At 47.2% G+C, this 25929-nt stretch overlaps 1 protein-coding gene across 1 annotated transcript in view, besides 1 other annotated feature; it reads right to left on the reverse strand.

Moving 5' to 3' along the window:
* Nucleotides 1–25929, reverse strand: part of ASB18 (ankyrin repeat and SOCS box containing 18) — a 70948-nt gene that overhangs the window by 39354 nt on the left and 5665 nt on the right. Inside the window, exons 2-3 of the mRNA NM_212556.4 lie at nt 8468–8590; nt 4877–5144 (exon numbers count right to left, since the gene is read on the reverse strand). Coding sequence (NP_997721.2) covers nt 4877–5144; nt 8468–8590 — 391 coding nt within the window. The remainder of the gene's footprint in view (nt 1–4876; nt 5145–8467; nt 8591–25929) is intronic.
* Nucleotides 5695–6325: an enhancer, noted in NCBI's record as "H3K4me1 hESC enhancer chr2:237147150-237147780 (GRCh37/hg19 assembly coordinates)". NCBI's record gives its function as "activates a minimal SCP1, AML or CMV promoter by ChIP-STARR-seq in naive H9 embryonic stem cells {active_cell/tissue: H9 hESC(naive)}" and the evidence as "EXISTENCE:reporter gene assay evidence [ECO:0000049][PMID:30033119]".

Below are 25929 nucleotides of genomic sequence, written 5' to 3' on the forward strand. Positions count from 1 at the left end.
GACATGTCCAGATAGCTTTACTGATGAATTCTACCAAACATTTAAGGAAGACATAATTTTATACAAGGTCTTCCAGGAAATAGAAGAGAAGGGCATACTTCTCAAATTATTTTTTCTCAAATTATTTCTGAGACCAGCATTACTCTGATGCCAAAACCAGACAAAGGTATTACAAGAAAATGAAACTACAGACCAATATCTTTCATTAACATAGATGCGGATACTAAATATTTTTTCCAGCAAACCAAACCCAATAATATATAAAAAAGGATAACTCCTCATGATCAAGTGTGGTTTATCCCAGGAATGCAAGGTTGGTTTAACATTTGAAAATTAATCAATATAAATTATTATATTAACAGACAAAACTTATACCTCATGATTATCTCCATATATGTAGAAAAAGCACTTGAGAAAATTCAATATTAATTCATCATACAAACTGTCAGCAAACTAGAAACAGAAGGGAGTTCTGTATCTCTGAAAAAAGGAATCTGCAAAATTTTACAGCTAATATCATACTTAGTGGTGAATTAATGTTTTCCTTAGGATCAACAGGAACAAGAAAAATTATCTGCTCTCACCACTTTTATTCAACATTGCACTGGAGGTTCTAGCCAGTGCAATAAAATAAGGAAAAGTAATAAAAGGCATCTAGATTGTAGAAGAAGTAAAATTGTATTTATTTGTAGACGACATGATTGCTTACAAGAAATCCTATGGAATTCTACTAGAACAGTGAGTTTAGAAGGGTTATAGGATACAAGGTCAATATACAAAAATAAATTATTATAAATTTCATATAGTAGTTACACACAATCAGAAATGGAAATTTAAATATACAGTTGACAACAGCATCAAAAAATGAAATAATTAGGGATAAATCTTACAAAATATATGCAAACCTTGTTCCCTAAAAACTATCAAACACAGCTGAGAAAAGGAAGAAATAAATAAATGGAGGAGTATATTGTGTGCATGATTTGAAAGCCTCAATATTTTTATTTTTATTTTTCTCCAAATTGATTTATAGATTTGGACAACATAACCCAGGAAGCTATGTTGTAGAAATGGATGAACTGAATCTAAAATTCATCTGGAAATGCAAAGGAGCTAGAATAGCCAAAACAACTTCAAGAAGGAAGAACTATGCTTGAAAACTTATACTACCTGACTTCAAAATTTATTATAAAGTTACAATATTCAAGACAGTATGGTATTGGTGTTAAAACAGGCAAATAGAGCAATGAAACAGAATAGAGATGAAGGGGGATGGCTCTGCCATGGCACCTTGGTGACCCTGCACATATCCACATAGGCCACAAAGCAAAACTGGAACCACTACTGAATCTACGTCTTGGTAGAACACCTGGATACTCCTGGGTTGGAAGCTTGTAAGGAGTTGCTATAAGACCCTTGCCCCCTCCCCTGGCTATGTCCCCTAGGAGGCTGCTATGAGATGGTTTCTCAATGCCTTCTGGATCCTGAGGAGGCAGGGACCTTCCTGCTTCAGCCCCTTCAGAATAGAGATACAGGCTGTGAACCTCTCAGCTCTGATCTAGGCATGGCTGCTCAGAAATGGGGTATTCTTCAATTTGTGTTGACATCATCCAGCCCCTTTTGTCTAGGTGTTATCCTTTTTGGTGTGTGGCATAAAGATTGTGAGGAGCCAACACCACTGGCTACTCTTCCTTTCACTCTTTATATAATAGAGTGGCTCCTCACGTCTTCACCAGGTGAACCAGTCAGACTTTGCCCTGCTTTGCACATGCTTGACAAGAGAGCTCAGAAATAAACTCACGCATATATAGTCCATTCATTTTTGACAAAGGTGCAAAGACCGTTTGGTGGAGAAAGGAAGGGTTTAGATTCACAAATACTTATTTTCTACTAACAGTGCTGGAACTGTCAGATATCCACATGCAAAAATAAATAAAAAAGCTTCAATCCCTACCTCACATCATATTCAGAAATGAACTCAAAATGGATCACAGACTTAAATGTAAAATGTAAAGTTATGAAATTTCTAGAAGAAAATATAAGAGAAAATCTGTATGACCTTGGGTTAGGCAGATTTTTTTTTAGATATCATAACCCAACCTAATCCTTAAAAGAGAAAAAATGGATAAACTGGACTCCATAAAAATTAAGAACTTCTGTTCTTCAAAAGACATTGCTAAGAGAATAAAATCTAAGCCAGAGACTGGCAGGTAATACTTATCAATCACATATCTCACAAGAGATTCATATCTAGAATATCCCAAGAAACCTCAAACTTAAATAAGAAAACCAACCCAATTTTAAAAATGGGCAAAAGATTTGAACTGACACTTTACCAAAGAAGATACAGTCATGTCCCTTATAACAATGGTTTTGGTCAACAACAGACCACATATACAATAGTGGTCCCATAAGATTATACTGTACGTTTTCTATGTTTAGATACACAAATACTTCCCATTGTGTTACAATTCCCTACAGTATTCAGTACAGTAGCATGCTGTCCAGGTTTGTAGCCTGGGAGCCAGAGGCTTAATCATATAGCCTAGGTGGGCAGTAGGCTATGCCATCCTGGTTTGTGTAAATATACTCTATGATGTTTACACAATGATGAAACAACACATTTCTGAGAATGTATCCCCATCGTTAAGCGACAAATGACTGTATGTGGATGGCAAGTAAGTTCATGAAACAATGCTCAACATCGCTAGTTACCAGGGAAATGAAAATCAAAACTATAACAAGACATGTGTACACACCTATTAGAATGTATACAATTAAGCCCTGACCATACCATGTATTGGTGAGGCTGTAAAGCAACTGGAACATGCAGACATCGCTGGTGCGGATGTAAAATGGTACAACTTTCAAAACTAGTTGGGCCATTTATTAGTTATTGTTATTATTATTTGAGACAGGGTCTCAACTCTGTCACCCAGGCTGGAGTGCAGTGGCGTGAACATGGCTTACTCCTGTGCTCAAGCGATCCTCCCACCTCAGCCCCCTGAGTAGCTGGGATTACAGGTGCATGCCAACATGCCTGGGTAATTTTTGTATTTTTTGTAGAGATGGGGTTTTGCCGTGTTGCCCAGGCTGGTCTTGAACTCCCGGACTCAAGTGATCTGCCTGTCTCAGCCTCCCAAAGTGTTGGGATTACCGGCATGAGCCACCGCACCTAGCCTAACAGTTATGTTCTTAATCATACCGTGTGACCTAGGTATTTATTCAAAATGCATAAAAGCATATGCCCATTCAAAGGCTGGCACACAAATGTGCATGATAACTTTGTTTGTAAAAGACCCAGACTGGAAACAATCAAATGTCTCCCAACATCTGAATGGATGAACATAACATACTGTGGTTCATCCATACCACGGACCGCTACCCAGGAATAAAAGGAATGAACTACGGACACACACAGCAACACAGATGAATCTTAAAATAATTATGTCGAGCGAGAGAAGCCAGATAAAAGACTGCAGATTCCATTTATACAAAATTCTAGAAAATTCAGACTAAGCCAAGTAATAGAAAGCAGATGCTAGGGATGGAGAGTGAGAAAGGGGCCAGTGGGAGGGAGAACCGTGGGCACCGTGAGGCCACAGGGGGAATGATAAATATCTGCCCTCCATGGACTGCGGGGTGTTGCACGAGTGTATAAGTCTGCGGAATTTATCAAATTGTACGCCTTAAACACGTGCCGCTTGCTGAATGTCAATCACACCTCGGTAAAGCTGCTTTTAAAGAGCATTGCTAGAACCTTGTTTCCTTCCTCTTTCTCAAGACTGGCGGGGGTCCACGTGGCCCCCTGATCCCCCCTCTGAACTCAAATGACCTTTCTTAGGTGGGTCCCCTGCCTGAGTCCCTGAATGCCCAGCAGTCCCGCCTGCCTGCGTTGCTGCCCCTGCTGGGCAGGACATCCAGGCAACTTTGACAGTCGGTGGAGAAGCAGCAAGGGCGATGCGGTTTCTGAGAGAGCCGCGCGGGTTCCCAGCACTAAACGTGGGCGACTTTCCTTAATCTTCCCCCAGAGACAGAAGGCCATGCAATGACAACTCCAAGGGCAGGGGCTGGAGCATTTTGACTAACAGAAAAGTCAGGATGACACAATGCAAGCCGAGAAACCCCACACGAGTCCTGTGCAAAGACAGGTGGCCCCGCTGCCTTTCCGAGACCCGGAGCACACGCTGGGAGGGCGCTCTCTGGGGACGGGGGCTGCGGGACCCCCAGACCCCGCGCCCGGGCGCGAACTAGCTGAGCGGCCGCTGGGCCTCCCTAGAGGCCGGCACAGCTCCGCTTCCGAGCGGGCCTGGAAGCCCCGCCCGAGGAGCTAACCATTTATGTCACACTGTGACAATTATTCTGCATAAAATTATCATTAAAAACCCTAATTTTTCAGCCTCCAACCCCGCCAGTGGCCTTTTAGCATCCCCGGCGCCGGCGGCTGGGCTGTGATCACCGCGCTCATTACCTCGGCGTGGCGCCTCCCGCGCGCGCTCGCAATCAAGCGCTAATTAAACCCGCGGGGGCCGGGGCCGGGGCGCGGGGCGGGGGCCGGGGCCGGGGCGCGGGGCGGGGGCCGGGGCCGGGGCGCGGGGCGGGGGCCGGGGCCGGGGCGCGGGGCGAGGGCCGGGAGGTGCCAGGTCTGGGGTCCCGGGTCAGGGATCTTGGATCTGGGTCCCGAGGCAGGGGCCGGGGTAGGGACGGGGCGGATGCGGGTCTGGGGATCCAGTGGGCAGAGTCAAGGGTGCAGGGTCTGGGTCCGGAGGCGGGGGCTGGGACGGAGGCGGAGGCGGGGTCGGCGGTCTCGTGGGGGGAGGCGGGCGTCTGGTCTCGGGGCGGGGCGGACGCCGCGGGCCTGTCCCGAGGTCCTTACCCGAGCGAGGCGGCCGTGCGGCAGAGGTGCAGAGGCGCCAGGCCCTCGGCGCTGAGCAGGTCGGGGTCGGCGCGGTGCTGCAGCAGCAGGCGGACGCAGGCGGTGTGGCCCCCGAGGCAGGCCTCGTGCAGGGCGCCGCGGCCGCCGGGGCTGGCGTCTGGGTCTGCGCCGCGGCCGAGCAGGTGTCGCACGCAGGCGGTGTGGCCGTGGGCCGCGGCGATGCACAGGGGCGTGGTGAGCTCACGCTTGTACTCCAGGGTCCAGAGGCCTGCGGGGAGGGAGGTGGGATGTAAGGTCAGGGGGAGGTTAGTTGTGGTGGTGGTGGGCGGTGTTCCTTAAGGCGGAAAGAAAGTGAAGCCGTCTCTTAAAGGTAGGTACCAGGTAGGCATGTAGGGAGAAGAGGATAGAATCAGAGACGCACACAGAGACAGAGAGCAGAGAGACACACTGGGAAGAGACAGGCGTAGACAGAGGAAGAAATACAAAGGAGAGATTGAAGGCTAAAACCGAGCTAGAGAGATGGGGCGCCGGGTATTGAGAAGCAAGAGGATTTTGCCAAATACGGGGGTGACTGGGAAATGGGGTCAGTTAAAAGCTGTCCAAGCAGGGTGCACGGTAGGCGAATTTAAGTGAGGAATTCACGTGTTCCAGGCCCTGAGTTAGGGCAGCTTGAAAGAGGAAAGTGGGTTGTGGAATTTTCCCGAATCCAGCACTCCCTTAGCTGAGCTCCAAACTTGTCCCTTTATCATTAAGAAGAGACAACAGACAAAACAAACTGACCCACACATCACCAAGGTTGTTCAAGAAAAGGACTCAGAGAAAGTTTAGCTCTCTTGCAAGTGGCTGAGTTTTCAGAAGCACACTTTGATGTGGTGGTCCACATTCAGCACAATCCTGGTTTGTTTCTTTGCGCTTTTTAGGGGTGTGTGTGTGTGTGTGTGTAGGGTTGCTCTTTCTTGAGGGATGAATGGAGCAGGTGCTATACATTTTTACTTCTCTGAAAACTTTGGCACTTTCAAAAAGCCCGTGGAAGGTTGTTAGCGGCCAGGAGCGCTCGTGGAAATGGGGGATGTAGTCCCTGGTGAATACACATCAAGGGGCAGGATTTCACATGGCAGGAAGGCCTTCTGATAATGATGGAAGAATCGATACTGTGGCTGTAATGAGCCGCAGAGGAGACCCTTTTCACAGGCCACCTCCTTCCCAGGACCCATGCTGAGCAGCCTTGAAAGTCCATTCATTAATTACCTACCCGCATGTGGTGCCGAGTTCCAGCCGCCCTGAGTCCCCAAGGCCCAGCCTGGAGCTTGTTGTGCACTCAGTGGGGGAAGGGGGGCCTGTGGGACTGGCATGGAATGGTGGTGGCCAGAGGCCCCAGGGACATGGACCTGCATGGGTTTGAGCTGCCCTTCCCAGTGAAGACCAGGTCGGATCTGGAGGGGGTGATGGATGTAGTCTATCTACATTGTTATCCCCGTGATAACAATAACCTACATTCCTGCAGGTGCCAGCTCTTGGTTTTTTGATTCGATTTGTTTTTCTGAGAGATGAAAACTACTTACTGCCTTCTCTGGGAAATGCTAAATCCCCAACCCAGCCCCACCCTACCCTAGCGCTCAGTAAACCCACCCTGGATTCCTGAGTCTTCTCAGGGACTGATGGGGAGAAGCCATAGGTGGGGATCTAGCTCAGCCACAGTGTGGGCCAGCACCGTCTCCAGGTCCTTGGCGATGCAGTCAGGAAGTCTGAATCAGCTTTCTGTAACTCCCGCCCTCTGGTCCCAGTTCTGCCACCAGGAGGGACGTGAATTAAGGCTCAGGAAGCCGGAATCAGCTTTCTGTAACTCCCGCCCTCTGGTCCCAGTTCTGCCACCAGGAGGGACATGAATTAAGGCTTCTCTGCATGTGGTGTGTCCCTCTAAGCATCAGCTCCCCCATGTCAGTGCTCTCTATGACTGTGGGCTGGATGGGCCAGCATTCTATCACGGAGGGGCACCGAGGTGGTGGCCACTGGGGACCTGCTCCCTGTACTCAGATCAATCCCTTCCCCACCAGGGGAGCTGGAATTGGCCACCGGGAAGTCTTTTCATGGGAGAGCACATGGGGCCACTGCTTTCAAACAGGGTCTGGTCGTTTCTGCTGCTGGATCTGCTGCAGGGCAGTCAGGTGTCTGTGCCGGAGGAGGCTGGAATCCAGGCAGCCTGAGCTTGCCTCCCTCTCTTCCCAGCCTGTGTGGAGGCCTTGGGCCACTACTCACTGTCCGGGCTGCCGTTTCCTCAGTACCAGCCCACATCCCTTTGCTGTGGGCGTGCTCCAGTATCCTGTCGTCCAGGTGTACCACAGGACAGCAGCAGAACTTAGGGGTGGGAAGATTCGGGAGGGAAGGAGGAAACTGATTTTGGATACAGAATGTGCAAATGATGGGTGAACATGACTATCTATTTGAAATTGTGACATTTGTGTGTGTGTATGTCCAGGGCTGCCGTTGGTATTTTTGGTCTGGGATAGGTGAGGGAGAGGAGGCCCAGAAGGGGTCGGCTGCGACATGCAGCCCCAACAGGAACTGCCATTTGCCTTTCCTGCAGCCCCCACCGCCTCACTGGTTGGCAGGAGCTGCTCGGCCCTCTGACAGTGTTTTGAGTTTATTCTCTTCTCCCCGTGTGAGGTATAAACAGAACTGTGTCAGTTCTTTGGAAGCCAACCTTCCGCATTCTTTGCCTGCCAGAGCTTAAGAGTCAGGGACATGGGACACTGGCCGCCGGCCACTGACCTCAGATTCTCAAATCCCATGGTCTGGCAGAGCTGCTGTAGATTCCAACGCATGTGAAACTTCTTGGTAAATATGTTGCATCTGAGCTGGTGGCGGGTGGGGTGCCCAAAGCAGGGTGCCATCCGAGAAAGCCCCAGATGCAGCATGGTGGTCAGCAAGTGTCTGCACATCTTGAGTGGGCAGGGGGAGGAGGGGACCTCTTTCCACTTGGGAGGTCTGCTTGTCCGCCCAGCGCACAGTGACCATGTTCAGGCAGCAAGAGCACCTGCAGACACGTATGAAGTCAGGACCTCTGGTTTCTTCCTTTTTCCTTCCCCATTCTTGGGATTCCCCAGATTCCAGGAGGAGGATCTACAGAGAGTCCTGGGGTCCTGCCTCTACTGATGCTGGCTGTGCCCCTGCTGTAGCTGTGGCATTTGCAGATTCATAAAGGACCTCACACAGAGCTGTGTGCCAGAGGCTGCTCCGGGCGCAACTGAAGGAGAGACTTTCCTTCTTCAGCACCCACCTCCCTGGCTGCCAGATGCAGGCACGGGCAGCTCCACACCTAAACCAATGCTCCTTTGTAAAGACAAGAGGCACACCCAGCGTCATCGGATAGGCATTCCCACCAATCGCTGCTTTGCCTTTCCAACTGGATCTCTTATAGGCCATCACCTAAAACCTACACTTTACTGCGAGCAAACTTCATCAGATGTCCTTTTCTTGTGTACGTTAAACCCAGTGCCACTGTGCCCAGTCTACACACGGGAGCCTTACACTCCCAGAGAGTATTAGTAGCCCCTTAAAAATAAATGACTGAGCTTTAAAGAACAAGGGTACCTGATAGTCCAAACGTGGCTGGAGATTTCACCTGCCATTCCATCTCATCCTTATTGATCTCAAACACCACGTTGGCATCCTGGAAGAACTGGTCCATGAGGGGCTTCAGATGGTCGAGGTCCCCTGCGACCAGGGCAGTGTGGTACTCCTGCACCGGGGACCCTGCTCTAGCTTGAGGATCCTTCTCTGTCTTTTGAAATATTTGAAGTTTTCCTCTCACTGGCCCTGGCTGTCTCTCCATTGAGATGCCGTCGATTTCAGAAGAGTTCTTCAGGAACGGGAAAGATGGTCTTATGGAGTGTGAGCTATTTCTATTGTCATTACTCAATTGTCATCCAGTTGGGGCTCGATGGTGGTATATTTATAACTCCTGTGGGCTCCGATGTGATAATGGTTACTTGATATGACCAGGGGCATGTGAGCACTGGGATGCCGCAGTACTCAGCCACCCTCTTTGTGATGATACAGATGCTAACTCTGGAGACAGACACATCTGGATAGCTCCAAAGCAGCTCTCCATGCACCGAGGGCAGACTCCCAGCACACATTTAATTGTGATGGACTCATTTATCCTGCTGTTGGGCAGATGATTCCCCAGTCTTAAATAGCATTGCATTTACCTGTTTATGTGGAGTAAGTGACTCACTTACAAAAATGACTTTGGTGACCAGAATACTTAGCAAATAAGTAATATCCTCTCAGATTTTTTTTTAAAGTACTATATTTGGAATCTGGAAATAAAAGTCTTATGCTCAGAGGAAAGAAACAAGTATTTATGAAGCACCCGATGTACACCAGTTGCTTTTTAAGTATTACCATATTTATTTCTTTACTCCCAATAACAACCACATGAAGGAAATAGCATGGCCACGGCCGCCTGGCTAGTTAGCAGCTGTGCTATGATTGGAACCCATGTGCGTCTGTCTCAAGAGTCCATCCTCTGTCCCCCACGCCACTCTGCTGGCTTCCAGTTGCATCAGGTAGGACCTACTCAGAACTGGGCCAGCACTGTCAGGAGCCACTTTCCAGAGAGGCCTCTTGGCTGCCCAGGATTTAGTCTTTCTCCAAGCGAAGGCGGTGCCAGGTAGCAGGACCTACTCTCAGGGTGATAGGGCTGAAAGGGTCTGTCTGCTGTCACTAGTTGGCGATCTCCACTCCCAGCTCTTGTATGGTTTGGGTGCTATGAATTGTTTGTACATTTATAAATAGTTGGGAAAAATCAAAAGAAGAATAATATTTCATGATACTCACTGCACCCTCCACCTCCTGGGTTCAAGTGATTCTCCTACTTCAGCCTCCTGTGTAGCTGAGATTACAGGCATGTGCATATCACCACGCCCTGCTAATTTTTTTTTAAATTATTTTTCGTAGAGATGGGCTTTCACCTTGTTGGCCAGGCTGGTCTCAAACTCTTGATCTCAAGTGATCCGCCCACCTCGGTCTCCCAAAGTGCTGGGATTGCAGACATGAGCCACTGTGTCTGGCCAATCCCAGCACTTTGGGAGGTCGAGGTGGGAGGATTTGTTGAGTCCAGGAGTTTGAGACCAGGCAAGATAGCAAGGGTCCCCCCATCTCTACAAAAAAAAAAAAATTAGCTGGGCATGGTGATATGCACCTGTGGTCCCAGCTATTTGGGAGGCTAAGGTGGGGAGGATCACTAGAGCTTGGGAGGTCAAGACTATAAGGAGCCATGATTGTGCCACTGTACTCCAGCCTGGGCAGTGGAGTGAGACCCTGTCTCAAAAAAAAAAAAAAAAAAAAAAAAAAAGGGCTGGGCGCAGTGGCTCACGCCTGTAATCCCAGCACTTTGGGAGGCCGAGGCGGGTGGATCACGAGGTCAGGAGATCGAGATCATCCTGGCTGACACAGTGAAACCCCGTCTCTACTAAAAATACAAAAAATTAGCTGGGTGTGGTGGTGGGCGCCTGTAGTCCCAGCTACTCAGGAGGCTTAGGTGAGAGAATGGCGTGAACCCAGGAGACGGAGCTTGCAGTGAGCCGAGATCGTGCCACTGCACTCCAGCCTGGGCAACAGAGCGAGACTCCATCTCAAAAAAAAAAAAAAAAAGAGTAATTACTACCTGAAATAAGTGAAGCTTGTCTTTCTCGGTTTGAAGAGTGTCTTTTAGCTTTTTTTCCCATCCATGTTCTCTGTTGCCATGACCAGTGATGAGCAGATGTGTGTTCCAAGGGTTGTGGCCACCCTGAGGATGTGTGAAGGAGGCCCCACTGGACACTGAAAATGACCAGGTTCCAGATAAGTGTCCCTGGGTGTTAGGAGGCTCCATAGGACAGATGCGGGGTTCCCAAAGACATGATCTGGGGCCCTGGTACCTGTGAGTTTCTTCCAGGGACAGAGAACTGATCCCTAAATGTGCATCCCTTGCTGAAGATGAGTAATGCCACATTTTTTTTTTCAAATGAATGATAACAGTTCTTTATTAGTAACTTATGAGTTATTTACTAAGGTTTGGTTTGGTTCAGGGCTTTATTTTATTGTCAAAAAATTAAATAAGCTCATTTTTTTCTTGTAACATAAATAATATGCAATTCCTTCCTTTTTTTTGAGATAGAGTCTTGCTCTGTCACCCAGGCTGGAGTACGGTGATGTGATCTCTGCTCACTGCAACCTCTGCCTCCAGGGCTCCAGCGATTCTCTTGCCTCAGCCTCCTGAGTAGCTAGGATTACAGGTTCTTGCGACCAAACCCAGCTAATTTTTTAATTTTTAGTAGAGACAGGGTTTCACCTTGTTGGCTAGGCTGGTCTCAAACTCCTGACCTCAGGTGATCTGCCCACTTCGGCCTCCCAAGTGCTGGGATTACAGGTGTGAGCCACCGTGCCCGGCCTGTTTTTCTTTCTTTCTTTCAACCATTCTTGTTTTTCCCCACCAGGAAGTTGGAATGGGCCAATGATGGTGAGCTACAGAATTCTTTGGCCTGTGCACATGAGTTACGATACAAACTATATGAGCAGAGGCTGGAGGGAGGTGAAAGGGTCAGGAGGGCTTTGCCTGGATGAGCAGAGAGAAGAGCAGTGCAGTATGGGCCCAGGAGGGCTAAGCAGACCCTCGCCCAGGGAGGCGGGCATAGCATAAGCCCCCATTTGCTCACAGCCAGTGTTAGACCTGGGGACCCATGGGATCCCATCCCCACATGGTGTTGCAACCAGGAAGCAACAGCAGAGAATCAACAGGAAAACAGATGTGAAATCAAGGAATAGAGCTCACTGGGCTGTGCATCCTTGGTCACAGTCGAGCTTCCTAAGCCTCCTTTTATGCCAGTTTCTTCTCTCTCAGTCTTCTCTGCACACAAAGGCTGCCTTGTGACTCCCCCTACCCCTCGTCAAGTGCCCCCCGACCTCTGAGTGCCCAACCAGAGCAGGCTTTCTGTGTGGGCTCTTTATTTGGAAGAGTAACCTGGCTTTTGGGTTGCCCCTTTCACCAAGATCTTCTATAACTAAGGAGTGCTCAGCAAAGGGAGACCTTTGATTTTCCTTACAAGAGATTGCAGCAAAGGGTGGAGTAGAAATCGAACACATTTATGGTTTGATATAGATGTGTTTTGACCCTTGTTGTAGAACCCTTGTTCTGACCCCTGTTACAGGCATGAGTTTATGTGCACAGACTGACCCAAGGCCTGGAGGTTCACCCAAATGATAAAACCCACCTCTCTTCTACAGAGGAGGGCTGCAGTGGTGCTGGGTGGGGAGGGATGAGGCCACGTTTGGCAGTCTATGATGCAGGGGGATAAGGGACAGAGGCTGTGCTGTGAAAGCTGAGGGGCTCACATGGGTGAGAGTCAACCTCAGCTGGGTGTGGGGGGAGACTTGGCCATGACCCAAATTGGTTGCCACGGGGGCCGTAGGTTTATTTTTTACCATGTTTATCTGACCTCTGGGCAAAGGCTCAGCTCTGGGGCTGCAGAAGGGCCCATTGGGCTTAGCTCTTGTGGGGTCAGGGCTAGCTGCCCTTGGGGGCTGCTGCTCCCTGGACACCCACTGCTAGTGACTCTGTGTCAGGTGTATCCCTGCAGGTTGATACCCTTGATGTCATTTGCAGGTGAGGAAACTGGGACTCACAGATTCAGTTACCTTTCTCAAGATTTCTGAATCCTGACATAGCCAGTGCCCAAGCACCTTCCCGTGAGTAAAAGGGCTTCCTACCTTGCCCTCACCGTTGTCCCTGGAGCATGCCACACCTTAGTATAGGGGTCTGCAGTCCCCAGATAGTGCCTTCGTCTCTCCAGGTGTCTGTGCAGGCTGTTCCTTCTGCCTGCAGTCCTTATTTTCCCTCCTTGCCTGGCCAGCCTCGCTCATCCTCCAACACAGCTTAGCCTCCCTTGACCTCCAAGACCAGTCCTGATGTCTGTCCTTGCACTCTGACTGTGGCACTGGGCGCTCTACTATTACTGCTGGTTCCTTGTCTGTGTCCCACTTCACCATGAGCTTTTTTGGAGGACGGTGGGGGCTGCTGCTTCCTCTCTGGGAAGTTCTTCATGCCCCGCATGGTGTTCCACACAGAGAAGGTCTTCAATGCCAACAGTGAAGAGAACGAATGGACTGGACTCTTTGAAACTTGCTCAACATTAAAGCTCCTCAGTGGTTCTTGCTCTTATTCTTGGCCATCTGTTGCCTTTCACCCTTAGGGAAGAACACCATAACGTGGACGCTCGGCTGGCCTAGGGCAGGTCTCAGGTGCTCAGCGTGGGGACCTACCTCAGATCTGTGGGCTTTACTGCACAGCCCACCTTCCCCCACATGTAGAGATCCTTACCAGGTTTTGTAAGAAGACCTGGCCTGGCACAGTAGCTCATGCCTATGATCCCAGCACTTTGGGAGGCCTAGGTGGGTGGATCACTTGAGGTCAGGAGTTCAAGACCAGCTTGGCCAACATGGTGAAACCCCATCTCTACTAAAAATATAAAAATTAGCCTGGTGTGGTGGCACATGCCTGTAATCCCAGCTTCTGGGGAGGCTGAGGCAGAAGAATTGCTGCTTGAACCTGGGAGGCAGTGGGCTGAGATCATGCCACTGCACTGCAGCTTGGGTGACAGAGCAAGACTCCATCTCAAAAAAAAAAAAAAAAAAAAAAAAAAAAAAAAGACCTTGGCTACTGTATGCCCCCTGAGAACTCTTTAAAACTTTGTTTCACATGTTTTTAAAGTTCATCTCCCTTATCCACATCATCAGTAGCAAAAGCAGCATCAATGTCATCAATTGGAACAGCAGAGATTTTTTTTTTCAAAGAGCCCACTGTGTGCCTAGGACCCTGCTGGTGCATTGGAAAATGCATCAGTAAAGAAGAAATAGACCATGTTTGTAAGGAACTTAGAGCCTTCGTTGGAGATCAAATGCATTTGCATGCATAAAATGACCAATAGTAACACAGTGGAGACCACTTCCCTTCTCAAATGTCCACCAGAACAACATGATGGGCTTCAGTCTCATCTCCTTCCCCCTTCATTTATGTATTCTGTAGTTGCACTATTCATTTTCCCACCAATATGAAGCTCTTTGGGTCTTTCCTTTCTCTAAGCATAGCCATTTTGCCATTTTATTTTTTCTCAGACTAATTGTTTGTGATTGGATAAATTTCTGCAGGACTTACTCATGCACAGCTATAATCTGATCCAACTGTGTTTCACTTTAACGAATTTCCTGATGCCTGATATAGCTTGTCGTTGGTTATTTTTAAAAGGGATAGGACACTAGAGGTAAGTCCAGGGATAAAAGCCATTCCACACTGCACCAGACACTAAATTTAGCTTTCCAGTATTATTTGTCAACAGCTTCCTAAGTATCCAAGTTTGATTTCAGTAGGCAAGGTGTAGTAGTCAAGAAACAGACTCTTTTTTTTTTTTTTTTTTGGTGACAGCGTTAAAAATAGCTCATGGTAGATAGCATTAGTTCATAAGACATGCAGATTATTTCATAAGCATGGCAGAGAGCTGTCTTTTTTTTTTTTTTAAAGAACAAGAATAGCCACATGTTGATGATTACATTAAAACAAACAAACCTGAAAACCAACTCATTCATTCATTCATTCATTCAATAAGCATTTATGTAATCTTTATTATGTTTTAGGGTGAATCTTAAGGTTTGAGGGTTTGGAGGCAAAAAACCTAACAATACCCCTGCCTGCAAGGATCAAACAGGAGAAAGCAAGGAGCGGAGGACTCCAGAAGACAGAAGTTCTTTAGGTTTCTTTCCCAGCAGCTGAATGATGCCCTGTAGTTACATGAATAACACTGTTTTCTGACCCAGTGCTCTTGACTGTGCTCTTTGTTGCCTGCTGCCTTCACATTTATCTATAGCTTGCTTGGGTCAAGTCATTTTAATCTCATTATTTTCTTGGTCCTCACCCTTCTCAGCTTAGTCAAAGCCAATACATAGCCTCAAGATACAATTCAGGTTTTATCTTCTCTGCCAACTTTAGTACGTATCCAATGCAACTTCTTTCAAGAGTGAATTTGTGTATGAAGTTGCTGAACAATTGTCAAAGTCTTTGAGGAATTGTGATAAAACAAAAGAAGGACCAGAAGACTAGAGGTTTAGTTTTCAAATGGAAAGAGACTTCGGACAGACTCGTGATCTTGACATTAGACCTGGGCAAGATCCCTACATGGATTGTGAAAAAGATTGTTTGGGAGTATTTAGAAAACAGAGTGGAGTCACCTGGAGCTCCACAAGTCACTAGGAACACGTCAGGGTGGACTAGAATTTTCTTTTGTGACAGGGTTATCATAAATATGCAGACGGGGTGTAGGCAGCAACATGCAATGCCAGTTTCATGACAGCCTCTTGGAAAAGATGGAAACAGTGCGAGTCTTTCTTTAGGAAACTCTGGCTAAATAATGTGAACTGGAGAAATAATACACGTGATGCCCCAACAGCAGTGGTTCAAACGTTGGCTACAAAAATGAATCACCTGAGGAACTTTAAAAAACACGATGCCTGGAGCCCACCTGGTAGTTTCAGGCATAATGGGTTGGAGGTGCAGCCTGGGCAACAGGACTGTTAAAAAGTCCCCAGGTGGCTGGATGTGGTGGCTCATGCCTGTAATCCCAGCACTTTAGGAGGCTGAGGCAGGTGGATCACCCGAGGTCAGGAGTTTGAGATCAGCCTGGCCAACATAGTGAAACCCTGTCTCTACTAAAAATACAAAAATTAGCTGGGCAAGGTGGCGCACGCCTGTAGTCCCAGCTTCTTGGGAGGCTGAGGCAGGAGAATTGCTTGAACCTGGGAGGCAGAGGTTGTGGTGAGTTGAGATAATGCCACTGCTCTCCAGCCTGGGCAACAGAGCAAGACTCCGTCTCAAAAAAAAAAAAAAGAAAGAAAAAAGAGTCCCCAGGTACTTCTAACATGCAGCCAAGGTTGAGAACCATTGCTGTGAAAGGCAACCATGGAATCCGTGACCCTTGCAATGTGGTGTGGAATGCCTTTTATCCCTGGACTTACCCCATTTTGTGTGATACATATCGTGATTTGAATGAATTTGTGGAAGGGTAGCTATCAGATGCGTGGCATGGAGCATGACACAGCCAAGATTCCAAAAGGTCTCCACAGGTCAGAGCAACAGGCCGATTCAATCAATGCCACCAGGCAGCATTCAAACTGCAGACCCATAGGAATCTGTTGTCCTTGTGAATCGAATGACTGAAACAGCTATTCACTACTATGGGTTCCCCGTTTGGGGCACTAGAAGTTTCTTTCTCTTGTTTTTAAGTTAAGAGGTTGTTGGTTGTTTTGATGCATTGATATTTATACCCAAATTTAGATGGCATAAATGCAGCAAATTATTTGAAAACATTCAAAGCATGTCTGTACAGTAAGAGTAACTCGTGTCAGACAGATGTCCATTTAAGTTCCCTTTCTCATTGGGACTCTTGGCTTTGTAGAACTGAGAGTCCCTCTGAGAACTCCAGAGAGCCCCTGTGCTTTGCTTCCTGGTGTTGTCCTTGATCTCTATGTTTGCTTGCATTGTGTACCTTCTGCTCTCCTCCCACAATGGCGGCCACAATTGGCTTCTTTGATTTTTCTTGGTTGGTTGGTTTGTTTTCAAGCTAGCCCACTAACAGCATCACTTAGTGTATCTGGCAATCACACTGAGGATGTGAAGGGGTCTGTCACAGTTTGCACAGCCTTATTCCACTCTTCACTTCCATTTCTGTTTCCATTCTCTCTGGTACAGCCATGGAAATCCTCCCCCTTTTTTCTTCAGTGTTGTTCTGTGCACTGCTAGGGCCCATGGGGTTTCAACGTCTATTCCAGGGTGTTGGTCAAGGAAATGCTTCTGAACAAATACAATGCCCTTCTTGAAAGAGAGGGATTCTGATGAATATAATTTTCTCCAAGCCAGTACATTTAGTATTTTTAGTTTTTCAAATGGTGTACTTATTTGACAGAGGAAGCTTATTTGTGTGGGTGGACCGTGGCAGAATACTAAACAAATGTAATTTCTGTGGTCTTTTGCTGCAGACCATGAAGTGAATTTAGGAAAAGGAAGGCAAGAATCCAAGCAGGAGAGGAGGCCCGGCTTGTGTCTGGCTAACTGAGTGAATAGACTGAATTTCTCTAATACTAGCCAGGTAGTCAACTGGATTAAAATATACTTTTGCAAAGAATATTTTGGAGACTTAAATAATAAGCATGATGTTTTGTCTGCAGGAGACACAAACATGAGTTCTTTATAATTGAGTCCTATAGTGGAGACACAAACATGAGTTCTTTATAATTGAGTCCTATAGTGTAGGTAGCTAATGAGAAGGAGTTTTTGCCTCTGGATCAAATGAGATGAAAAGGGTAAAATCCACCTTGAAATTATAATGGGGTATCCACATGGTAGTGTTTGAATGGTAACTATTATTTTCATGTGACATTGGGATCTTTTCTTCTTGCCATTGAGTTGACTAGTGATTTTCTTTTCCCCAGAAGCCTCCAAGGATTAATCCAGCTGAGGCTGAAACCTGGAGCTGGTGGGCTTTGTGGCAGGGCCAGGCTTATTCTCCATGGCCACAACTTTCCATGCCTTCAAGCCAAGAGGTAGAATTTTTGAGGCTGCAGGACACCCTGCCATTTTCTCTTGTTCTTGGGGAATGGCAAATGTTCAGATTCTTTCCTAGGTCATTGGCAAATGTCTGGCTTCCTTCTGGAAGTGTCCAAGTGGACAGACAGGGGCAGGAAGTCATTACTCTTGTGGACATTGTGAAATTCCGTGCATTCTTTCTTAAATATGCCAGCGCACGTTGTTGACCTGGTCAATTTCCTTCACCCCTTTTTTTACCTGGAGGGTTTCTGTAAATGGCCATGTACTAAGTCTGACTGGACTCTAGGATAATAACATCACTACCAACTGGTGCAGCAGCCCCAGGCCTTCCAGTGGAGTTACTTTCACACCCTCTTCTGGTCTTTATTCTTCCTGTTTTAATGTCTAAAGCCACCTTTCCTTCACCCCACTTCCTGCAGAATTAAAAAAATATATTTTAAAAGTAAGAAGCTGGGCAGGTATATAAAGTTCTGCTTTTAAGAGTTCCAGGACACATCCATCCACCAGAGTTAGTCACATAGACATTAATATCAAAAATGTTAAAGTATCTCAACCTCCTCTCTGAATAACAATGTTAGCACAGCACACCTCATTTAACAAAACATTAAAACATTTTACTTCCTCAGATCAAGTGCATCTATTAATAATGACTTAAATTGTCTGTGCTGATTTCACATTATTAAGAAATCTCATTTCCATCATGTGGAGGAACACAATAAGGGAGGAAACCACCTCACTAACTTATTTTCCCGTCACTGCTACCAAGCCCAGTGCAGATAATGCAGAACAACAGTCACTTCTCATTATTAATGTGATCTTATCCAAAGGTCAAGTGCCGCTTTCATTGGCAGCCCAGGAGGGCTTTTTTGGAAGCTCAGAAACAAAGATGCCCTTGAACACCGTGTATCCGCTGTGGATGAGTGCAAAACACAGCGGCCCAATCCTCAGCGTGCACAACCACGAGTAAATAGCCCTGGAAGGACATTTATAGACTCTGGGGACGTTGCTGGAAAGCGTATCATTGAAGCTCTCCCTGATAAAGGTGACGAAGTTTCTTTACAACTGGCGTGGGGATTTAATTACATGATAAAATTGCAGCTCCTGCCTCTTGAGACAAATTGCGTGTTCAGACTGATTGTTTTTTATGAATCTCACACAGGGAGCAAAATACTTCTCTCTTGAAGTTGGTTTGCTTTGATTGTTCTGCCCTGTGATCCTTTATATCCCTTCTAGAAACGAGAAGTTTACCTATCCTGAAGTTGAGAAGGGTGGTCTAGGAGACAATTTGGTCAACACTGCATCCAGCAAAGTGAGGCCAGTTTTGTCTGATGGAGTTAAATTCCAGAATTAGAACTTTAAACTTCCAACGGAAAAACAGGAAAAAAAATGATAAGAACTGTAAGTGACTGCTGAAACACTGGACTGCTAATCACGTTCAATTTTACTAACCTAAAATACAAGTGAAAAATGACAAGAGATCTTTTTGCCTATTGTGAAAGATTTTTTAAAAGTCAAGTTTTTGAAGAGTTCAGTGACACTAATCCTCTCCCAGTTTGCAGGTGGGAGGGTAAATTGCTGTTCAGTTTGGAAATGTTCTATACTGAGTTTACATGTACAGAGCATTTTTCAGGTACAAGAAGCTTACAGAAATAAATAGTAGAAATCTGGCCGGGCATGGTGGCTCATGCCTGTAATCCCAGCACTTTGGGAGGCTGAGGCAGGTGAATCACCTGAGGTCAGGAGTTCCAGACCAGGCTGACCAACAGGGTAAAACCCCGTCTCTACTAAAAGTACAAAAATCAGCTGAGGGTGGTGGTGTGCGGCTGCAGTCCCAGCTATTCAGGAGGCTGAGACAGGAGAATTGCTTGAACCCAGGAGGCAGAGGTTGCAGTGAGCCAAGATTGCGCCACTGTACTCCAGCCTTGGCAACAGAGTGAGACTCCGTCACACACACACACACACACACACACACACACACACACACACAGTAGAAATCCTTGCCTTTAAGGAGTGTTGAATTGAGTGGGAGGGCAGACGTGGCCACCATCAACTAGCGGTGGAATCAGATCACTGCTATATGGAGGTACAGGTGTTAAGATGGGGATGCCTCAAATAAGGAATCAGAGTGATGGGGTAGGGATAGGGCCAGCTTCCCCCTAATATGGCATCTGAGCAAAGTGACAGGGAGGTGTAGGACACGGAAGGTGCATTTCCTCCCCAGGATGTCTGTTTTCTCCTCTTGATCTATTGTTGCGGGGAGCTATACCCTATGTTCTGGCCTGAGCAAGAGGCAGGTGTCACTAGCCACCATGCTATGGCGCATGGGACACAGGTGCAGTCAGGAAGGCAGCCAGCCCTTTGATGATGTGGAGGGGTCAGGCAGAGGGGCACCTGAGCAGGAAATGAAGCCGCCACAGACAGCAGACCTGTGATTCAGGGCTGAGAGGAGAGGAGGGGCCTAGATCCTTTGGTGGACACAGAGATGAACCACCCAGGCCCCAGCTGTAGGGAGGACTTGTCACCCCAGCTGTCAGCTCCTCCATGGTTTGCCTCAGCTGCAGAGCTGCATCACCTAAGAACACTCCTCCCAACGTGGCCAGATCCAGTGATGGATCCAGGTGCAGCTAGAGCTGTCCTGCCATTTTGGCCCCATGCAGGGAAAACTGTGACAGGTCATCTCTGTTCCAGAGCTGCCCCTGGGGTCAGCCAAGGCATGGTTAGGTGGCGTCAAGGATCCCCACCGTCCTCGCCAGCCTGGCTTTCTAGATGTTGATCCTAGGAAGTTTCCTGCCAAACTCCAGTCAGCACCCAACGCTGACCCCTGAGCTCACGAGCCACTGGGAGGATGGTGGGTGTGTTCCTGGCACACAAGAGGACAGGAAGCAGCAGAAGAGGCAGATGTGCAAACGCCAGGAAGGGACTGCGGACTGAGGTGTTGTGGAGATGTGGCTTGGACCAGAGTTTCTCAAGCACCCGAGGTGAGGGACCAGGGATTTTCTTTTCTGAGTCTAATTTGTTGCAGTTTGATTCTCATTCAAGGGGCTCAGTCTTTATTTTTGTTTTTATTTTTTTAAGGACAGCGTCTCACTCTGTTGCCTAGGCTAGAGTACAGTGGCACAGTCATAGCTCACTGTAACCTGAACTCCTGGGCGCAAGCGATCCTTCCACCTCAGTCTCCTGAGTCGCTGGGACTACAGCCACTTGCTGGTTAACTTATTATTATTATTATTATTATTATTATTGTGGTGGGAGATGGGGTCTCACTGTGTTGCCCAGGCTGGTCTCTAACTCCTGGCCTCAAGTGATCTTCCCACCTCAGCCTCCCAAAGTGCTGGGATTACAGGTCTGAGCTACTTCACCTGGTCTGATTCTCTTTCAAAATACAATGAAATTAGTTACCGGCAAAAATAAAACCGAAAAACGACAGGTAATTACAAGTCTGCAAATCACACACATGGATGTTAGGTTAAAATTGCTGTAAACATGTCTAAATACTTACTGTCAATTTCGGTCAAACACTTCCCAGAGTGACTCCCACCTCCTACCACATTCAGAGTAGCCCCTGTGACTGTTCAGCCTCTGGGTGGGTGCAGGGATGCCGGGAGAGAATGGCAGGGATGCCAGAGTTAGCTCAGGGTACATCTTTAGGCCTTTGGATGCCTGTTATAAAATTTAAACTGTGTTTTGGTGACAGGAGTCACCAAACTTTTTCCATAAAGTGCCAGACAGTAAATATTTTACATTTTGCAGGTCATATGGTCTCTGTGGCAACTGCCCAATTCTGCCACGCTCACATGAAAGCAGCCATAAAGAATATGTAAATGAAGGAGGTGGCTGAGTTCCAATAAAACTTTATTCATAAAAACAGGAAGCCAGCCCACAGGACATAGTGTGCCAGCTTGCTGTAGGCAGTACAGAACATGGCAGCTTTGTGGGAAGAAGTGTTACATGAGCATCTCCATATATCGAACTGATTGCACCCTTCTCTCTGCACACGTTTCACCCCTTCACTCCCATGGAATCTGCTCTCTATTCTCAGAGTAAACCTGACTCAACAACAGGAATTGAGCACCCAGGCATGCGAGCCCACACAGCTGACTCCCTTCTATCAACTCTGCCCTTCTTCTGGTTGGCTGAACTTCTTGAATCTATAAAGTTACATTTTTTACCACTAAATTTGGGAAACGTTTGGTAGTTATTTCTTTAATCATATTTTTCCACCCTGTTATTATTCTTCTCTTCTCTTTCTTGCATTTAGTTGTGTATGTTAAACCTTTTATTTTGTCCCACAGATCCTGTTCATTTAATTTCCCATCATTTTACTTTCTCTTCTTCAAATCAAATATTTTTCTATTGATGTTTTCAAATTTGCCGGCTCTGTCTTCTGTCCTCTTCCATCTGCTGTTAAGCCCATCGTTGATGGGAACAAGACCAGCCCTAGCTTCAAGGGAAGTGGGTGATCGGGTTTGGATTTGTGTCCCCGCCCAGATCTCATGCCAATTATCATTCCCAATGAGGGTGGTGGGGCCTGGTGGGAGGTGATGGGATCATGGGGGCGGAGTTCCCAGGAACGGTTTCCTGCCATCCGCTTGGTGCTGTTCTCAAGATAGTGAGTTCTTGTGAGATCTGGTTGTTTAAAAGTGTGTAGCACTCGCGACCCCACTCTTTCTCCTGCTCCTGCCCTGTAAGCTGCCTGCTCCCCATTTGCGTTCCGCCGCGACTGAAAGCTTCCTGAAGTCTCCCCAGAAGCCGAAGCCGCTACGCTTCCTGTACAGCCTGCAGAACCGTGAGCCAATTAAACCTCTGGTATTTCTTTCTTTTTCTTTTTTTTCTTTCTTTGAGACGGAGTCTCATTCTGTCGCCCAGGCCTGAGTGCAGTAGCGCGATCTTGGCTCACTGCAACCTCCTCCTCCCAGGTTCAAGCGATTCTCCTGCCTCAGCCTCTTGAGTAGCTGAAATTACAGGCGCCCACCACGACGCCCAGCTAATTTATATATTTTTTGTAGAGACGGGGTTTCACCATGTTGGCCAGACTGGTCTTGAACTCCTGACCTCAGGTGATCTGCCCCCCTCGGCCTATCAAAGTGCTGGGATTAGAGGTGTGAGCCACTGCGCCTGGCCTGGTATTTCTTTATCACAATGCGAGAACGGACTAACACAGTGGGGAGATGTATTTCTTTTTCAGGTGGGCACATTGCATGCCACAGGGATTTTGCTGGTAAAGCAGGAGAGGAGGGTGGCTGTGAGGGAATAGCTAGCAGCTGGTGGCCTCTCCTGGCACCTGTCCTTTCTCCTCTATCTTCTGCTTTACCTAAGTAAAAGAGTCAGGTGTTTTCTTTCCAAATTAAGATGACCTCATTCCTTTGCTGAATGGCTCCTCATGGCTTTTCCAAGTAAGTGTAAACACCTGTGCCTAGAATGTGTAGCCTCAAACAATATCGTCCCAATCTCTTTGCCTGGGGCTTCCTCTCTTCTCTGATTTACACACCCAAGTCCAAGTTGTGTCCCACTTCCCTGTCCCACGTGCCATGCCTTGGGTGCACTACGTTTCCTGCTCGCCTCCCTTTATCTGGGCTTCCTTCCTTTGGATCACAGCCTCCCAGGAACATGCTCCTGTTTCGAGGGTCAAGTCAGAGGATTTCTACAGTGTTCTCCCTGTGCTATTTGGTGCATTAATATTTATTTTTTATTTATTTATTTTTAATTTCTATGTATTCATTTGTTTTTTGGAGACCGGCTCTCACTGTTGCCAGGTTGGAGTGCAGTGGCATGATCACGGTTCACTGCAGCACCTTCCAGCTTAAGTGGTCCTCCTGCCTCAGTCCCCCAAGTAACTGGGACTATAGGTGTGTGCCATCATGCCCAGGCTAATTGGTGTATTTTTTGTAGAGATAGAGTCTTGCCATGTTGCTCAGGCTGGTCTCAAACTCCTGGGCTCAAGAGATTCGCCCACCTTAGCCTCCCAAAGTGCTGGGGTTACAGGCATGAACCACCATGCCCGGCCCATAAGTATTTATTAGGTACCTAGTATGTGCAGGATGTGGCAAATAAGACAAACCTAGTCCCTGTCCAATATCCAGGTGCAGAGGTTGGCATTAAAAGATAGTGGGGCATTGGATGGGAAGCTAGAATCAGGCTACAGAGAGCATGCCTGCCATTTCCAATTAGTTCCTTCGGAATGTTTACTTCTCAAGCAGAGCACTTGTGGCAGGAAACTGTCGTCATCTCAGAAAGGTAGAAAAGCCTCTCCGCTATTATTCTCATTGCTTTTTGTTCTTTCCAAACTCTCCAGTGTGCTTGGGGATGATGTTAATAGATGGATGTCATCAGCATACATTATTTCTTTATTAGCCCGTTTCTCAATTTTGATTCTGAAAATACCCTGATTTAGTCTAATTGCAATTTCACTGTGTTCCACAGGCAGTGACAGTTCATACTTGGGGGGAGCTGAGACGCGACCCTGTAGGATTTTTTTTCTTGTCCATATGCCTTTGAAGCCGGACCATTAGCTCTAAGGCATGCATCTCATCTCATCACAGTGTCATTCAACCTGCTTCTGGGGAAAAAAAAAGAGCCTAGGGTGTGTGTCTCGTAGAAAGCAAAGAAACATTTTAATTCTAGGTGGTGGGAGATATTTTTCTGTATTTAAAGAGAGGGCTGCTGCAGCAGCCATTTTGTTCCTAAATAATTCAACTATATTCAAAGATAATCTGATGTTATTGTAGGAAAGTGTATTTCTAATAAATTCCACTTGATCTGGGTGAATCAATTCAGGCAGCGCATAATTGAGTCTGTTAGCAAGGACTTTAGCAAGAATTTTGCAATCAGCGTTAATTAAGAAGATGGGACAATAATTTGTGCATAATTCCGGATCTTTTCCTGGCTTGTGAATCAAAGTAATAAGAGCAATGCTCAGGCTGGTGGTGGGATAGTGTCATTAGGTGCTGATTTATAAGTACTTAGAAAGGTTTAATTTCATTTTGCTTCGAGCAGGGTCTCCCTGCCCCCACGCTCTCTGGTGGAGTGAGCAGTCAAGACAGCAGAGCGCTTCTCCTCCTGCCTGCCCTGCCGTGGGTGACCTCTCGCTTCCCATTTCTGTTTTTATTCTCCAGCCTAGCACCCCACTTACTTGCCCATGATTTTTTGGGATTATTTTTGCTCAATGATTTGAAACCAGGGACTCTATCTACTGAGATTGTGTGCACGTGTGCATGACTGTGTGTGTGCGTGTGTACATATGCATATGTATGCTTCATGTCAGATTAAAGGGTTGTAGACAGCTTCACTGGGAAGTTTTTTCAGGGACGTTCCTGCAAAATGTCTCTGGGTGGGTAGGCAGCAAGAGCCCCTGACTACAAGTCAGGAAGCATACCTGCTCCTGCTCTGCTCCTAACTGGCTGTTGACCAGCAAGTGAACACAGGTGAGCAGCAGTGTTCCGGTCTGTAGAACGCAGCTGTGGGATGAACTACAGGTGCCGTGGAGCACGGGAAAGGGCACTGGGTTTACAGTGCCAATTGTCTGTGGAACCCAAGGTGTGTCATGCAACTTCTCCAAGCCTCATTTTCCTCAGCTGGAGGAGTGGAAAGGGGAGAGCTCTTGGAGATGCTCTCACCTGTTCTCCAGGGAACAGCAGGGACTTGCGGCATTGCCAATTCCTCCTTCTTTGCCTCCGTGTAGGACCAGTTTCAGTTTGAACATACCCTGATTTGGGGACTTATTCTTCCTAAGCCTTGAGCCAAGCTGCTGCTTAATCTGTGCATATGAGTTCGTAAACCAGCTTCCTATGCACCTTCCAGCTGGTATCCTCGCTGCCTACTTGACCTGAAACTCACCACTGGAGGCCTTCCTTCGAAGGCAGGGTGTGGCCCACACAGGCCCCTGTTAGAATCCACCACTCCTGGGAAGGCAGTGTGGGTCGGGAGGCTTTGTTGATCCCCTCCACAAACACAAGCCATTCGTCTTAGAACCTGAGTTAGTCCAATTGGTAAAGATGCTTAGAGATGATCCAGACCAATCCATTTTTGAAAATGAGGAAATTAAGGTTCAAAGAGGTGGTCTGACATGTTCAAGGTCACACAGGTCACGGGAGAGCTTAGGCAAGAAACTGGGTCCCCTTCCTCTCAGTCCCTTGCCCTTCCCATTACACCACATCTTGGCACCATCATCAATGGGTACGCTCTTGTCACTGTGTTGGAAAATGATTCCTCTAAGGCGGGAGCTGTGCTCATTTAATTTAGAGTCAGCCGTTTGGTTTGTCCTGAGTGATGTTATTCTCCAGGCATAAGGAAGGATGTCTGAGTTAAAGGAGCAGGGGATATGGCCCATGTGTCATGGTTCGCCCTGCATCAAGCCTTAGATGAGAAGTCTAATTCTGCAAATGGACCCCATTTTCACATGTGTGCACATGTCCGTGGTGTG

This window comes from Homo sapiens, chromosome 2 (genome assembly GCF_000001405.40).
Source record: "Homo sapiens chromosome 2, GRCh38.p14 Primary Assembly".
NCBI lineage: Eukaryota > Metazoa > Chordata > Mammalia > Primates > Hominidae > Homo > Homo sapiens.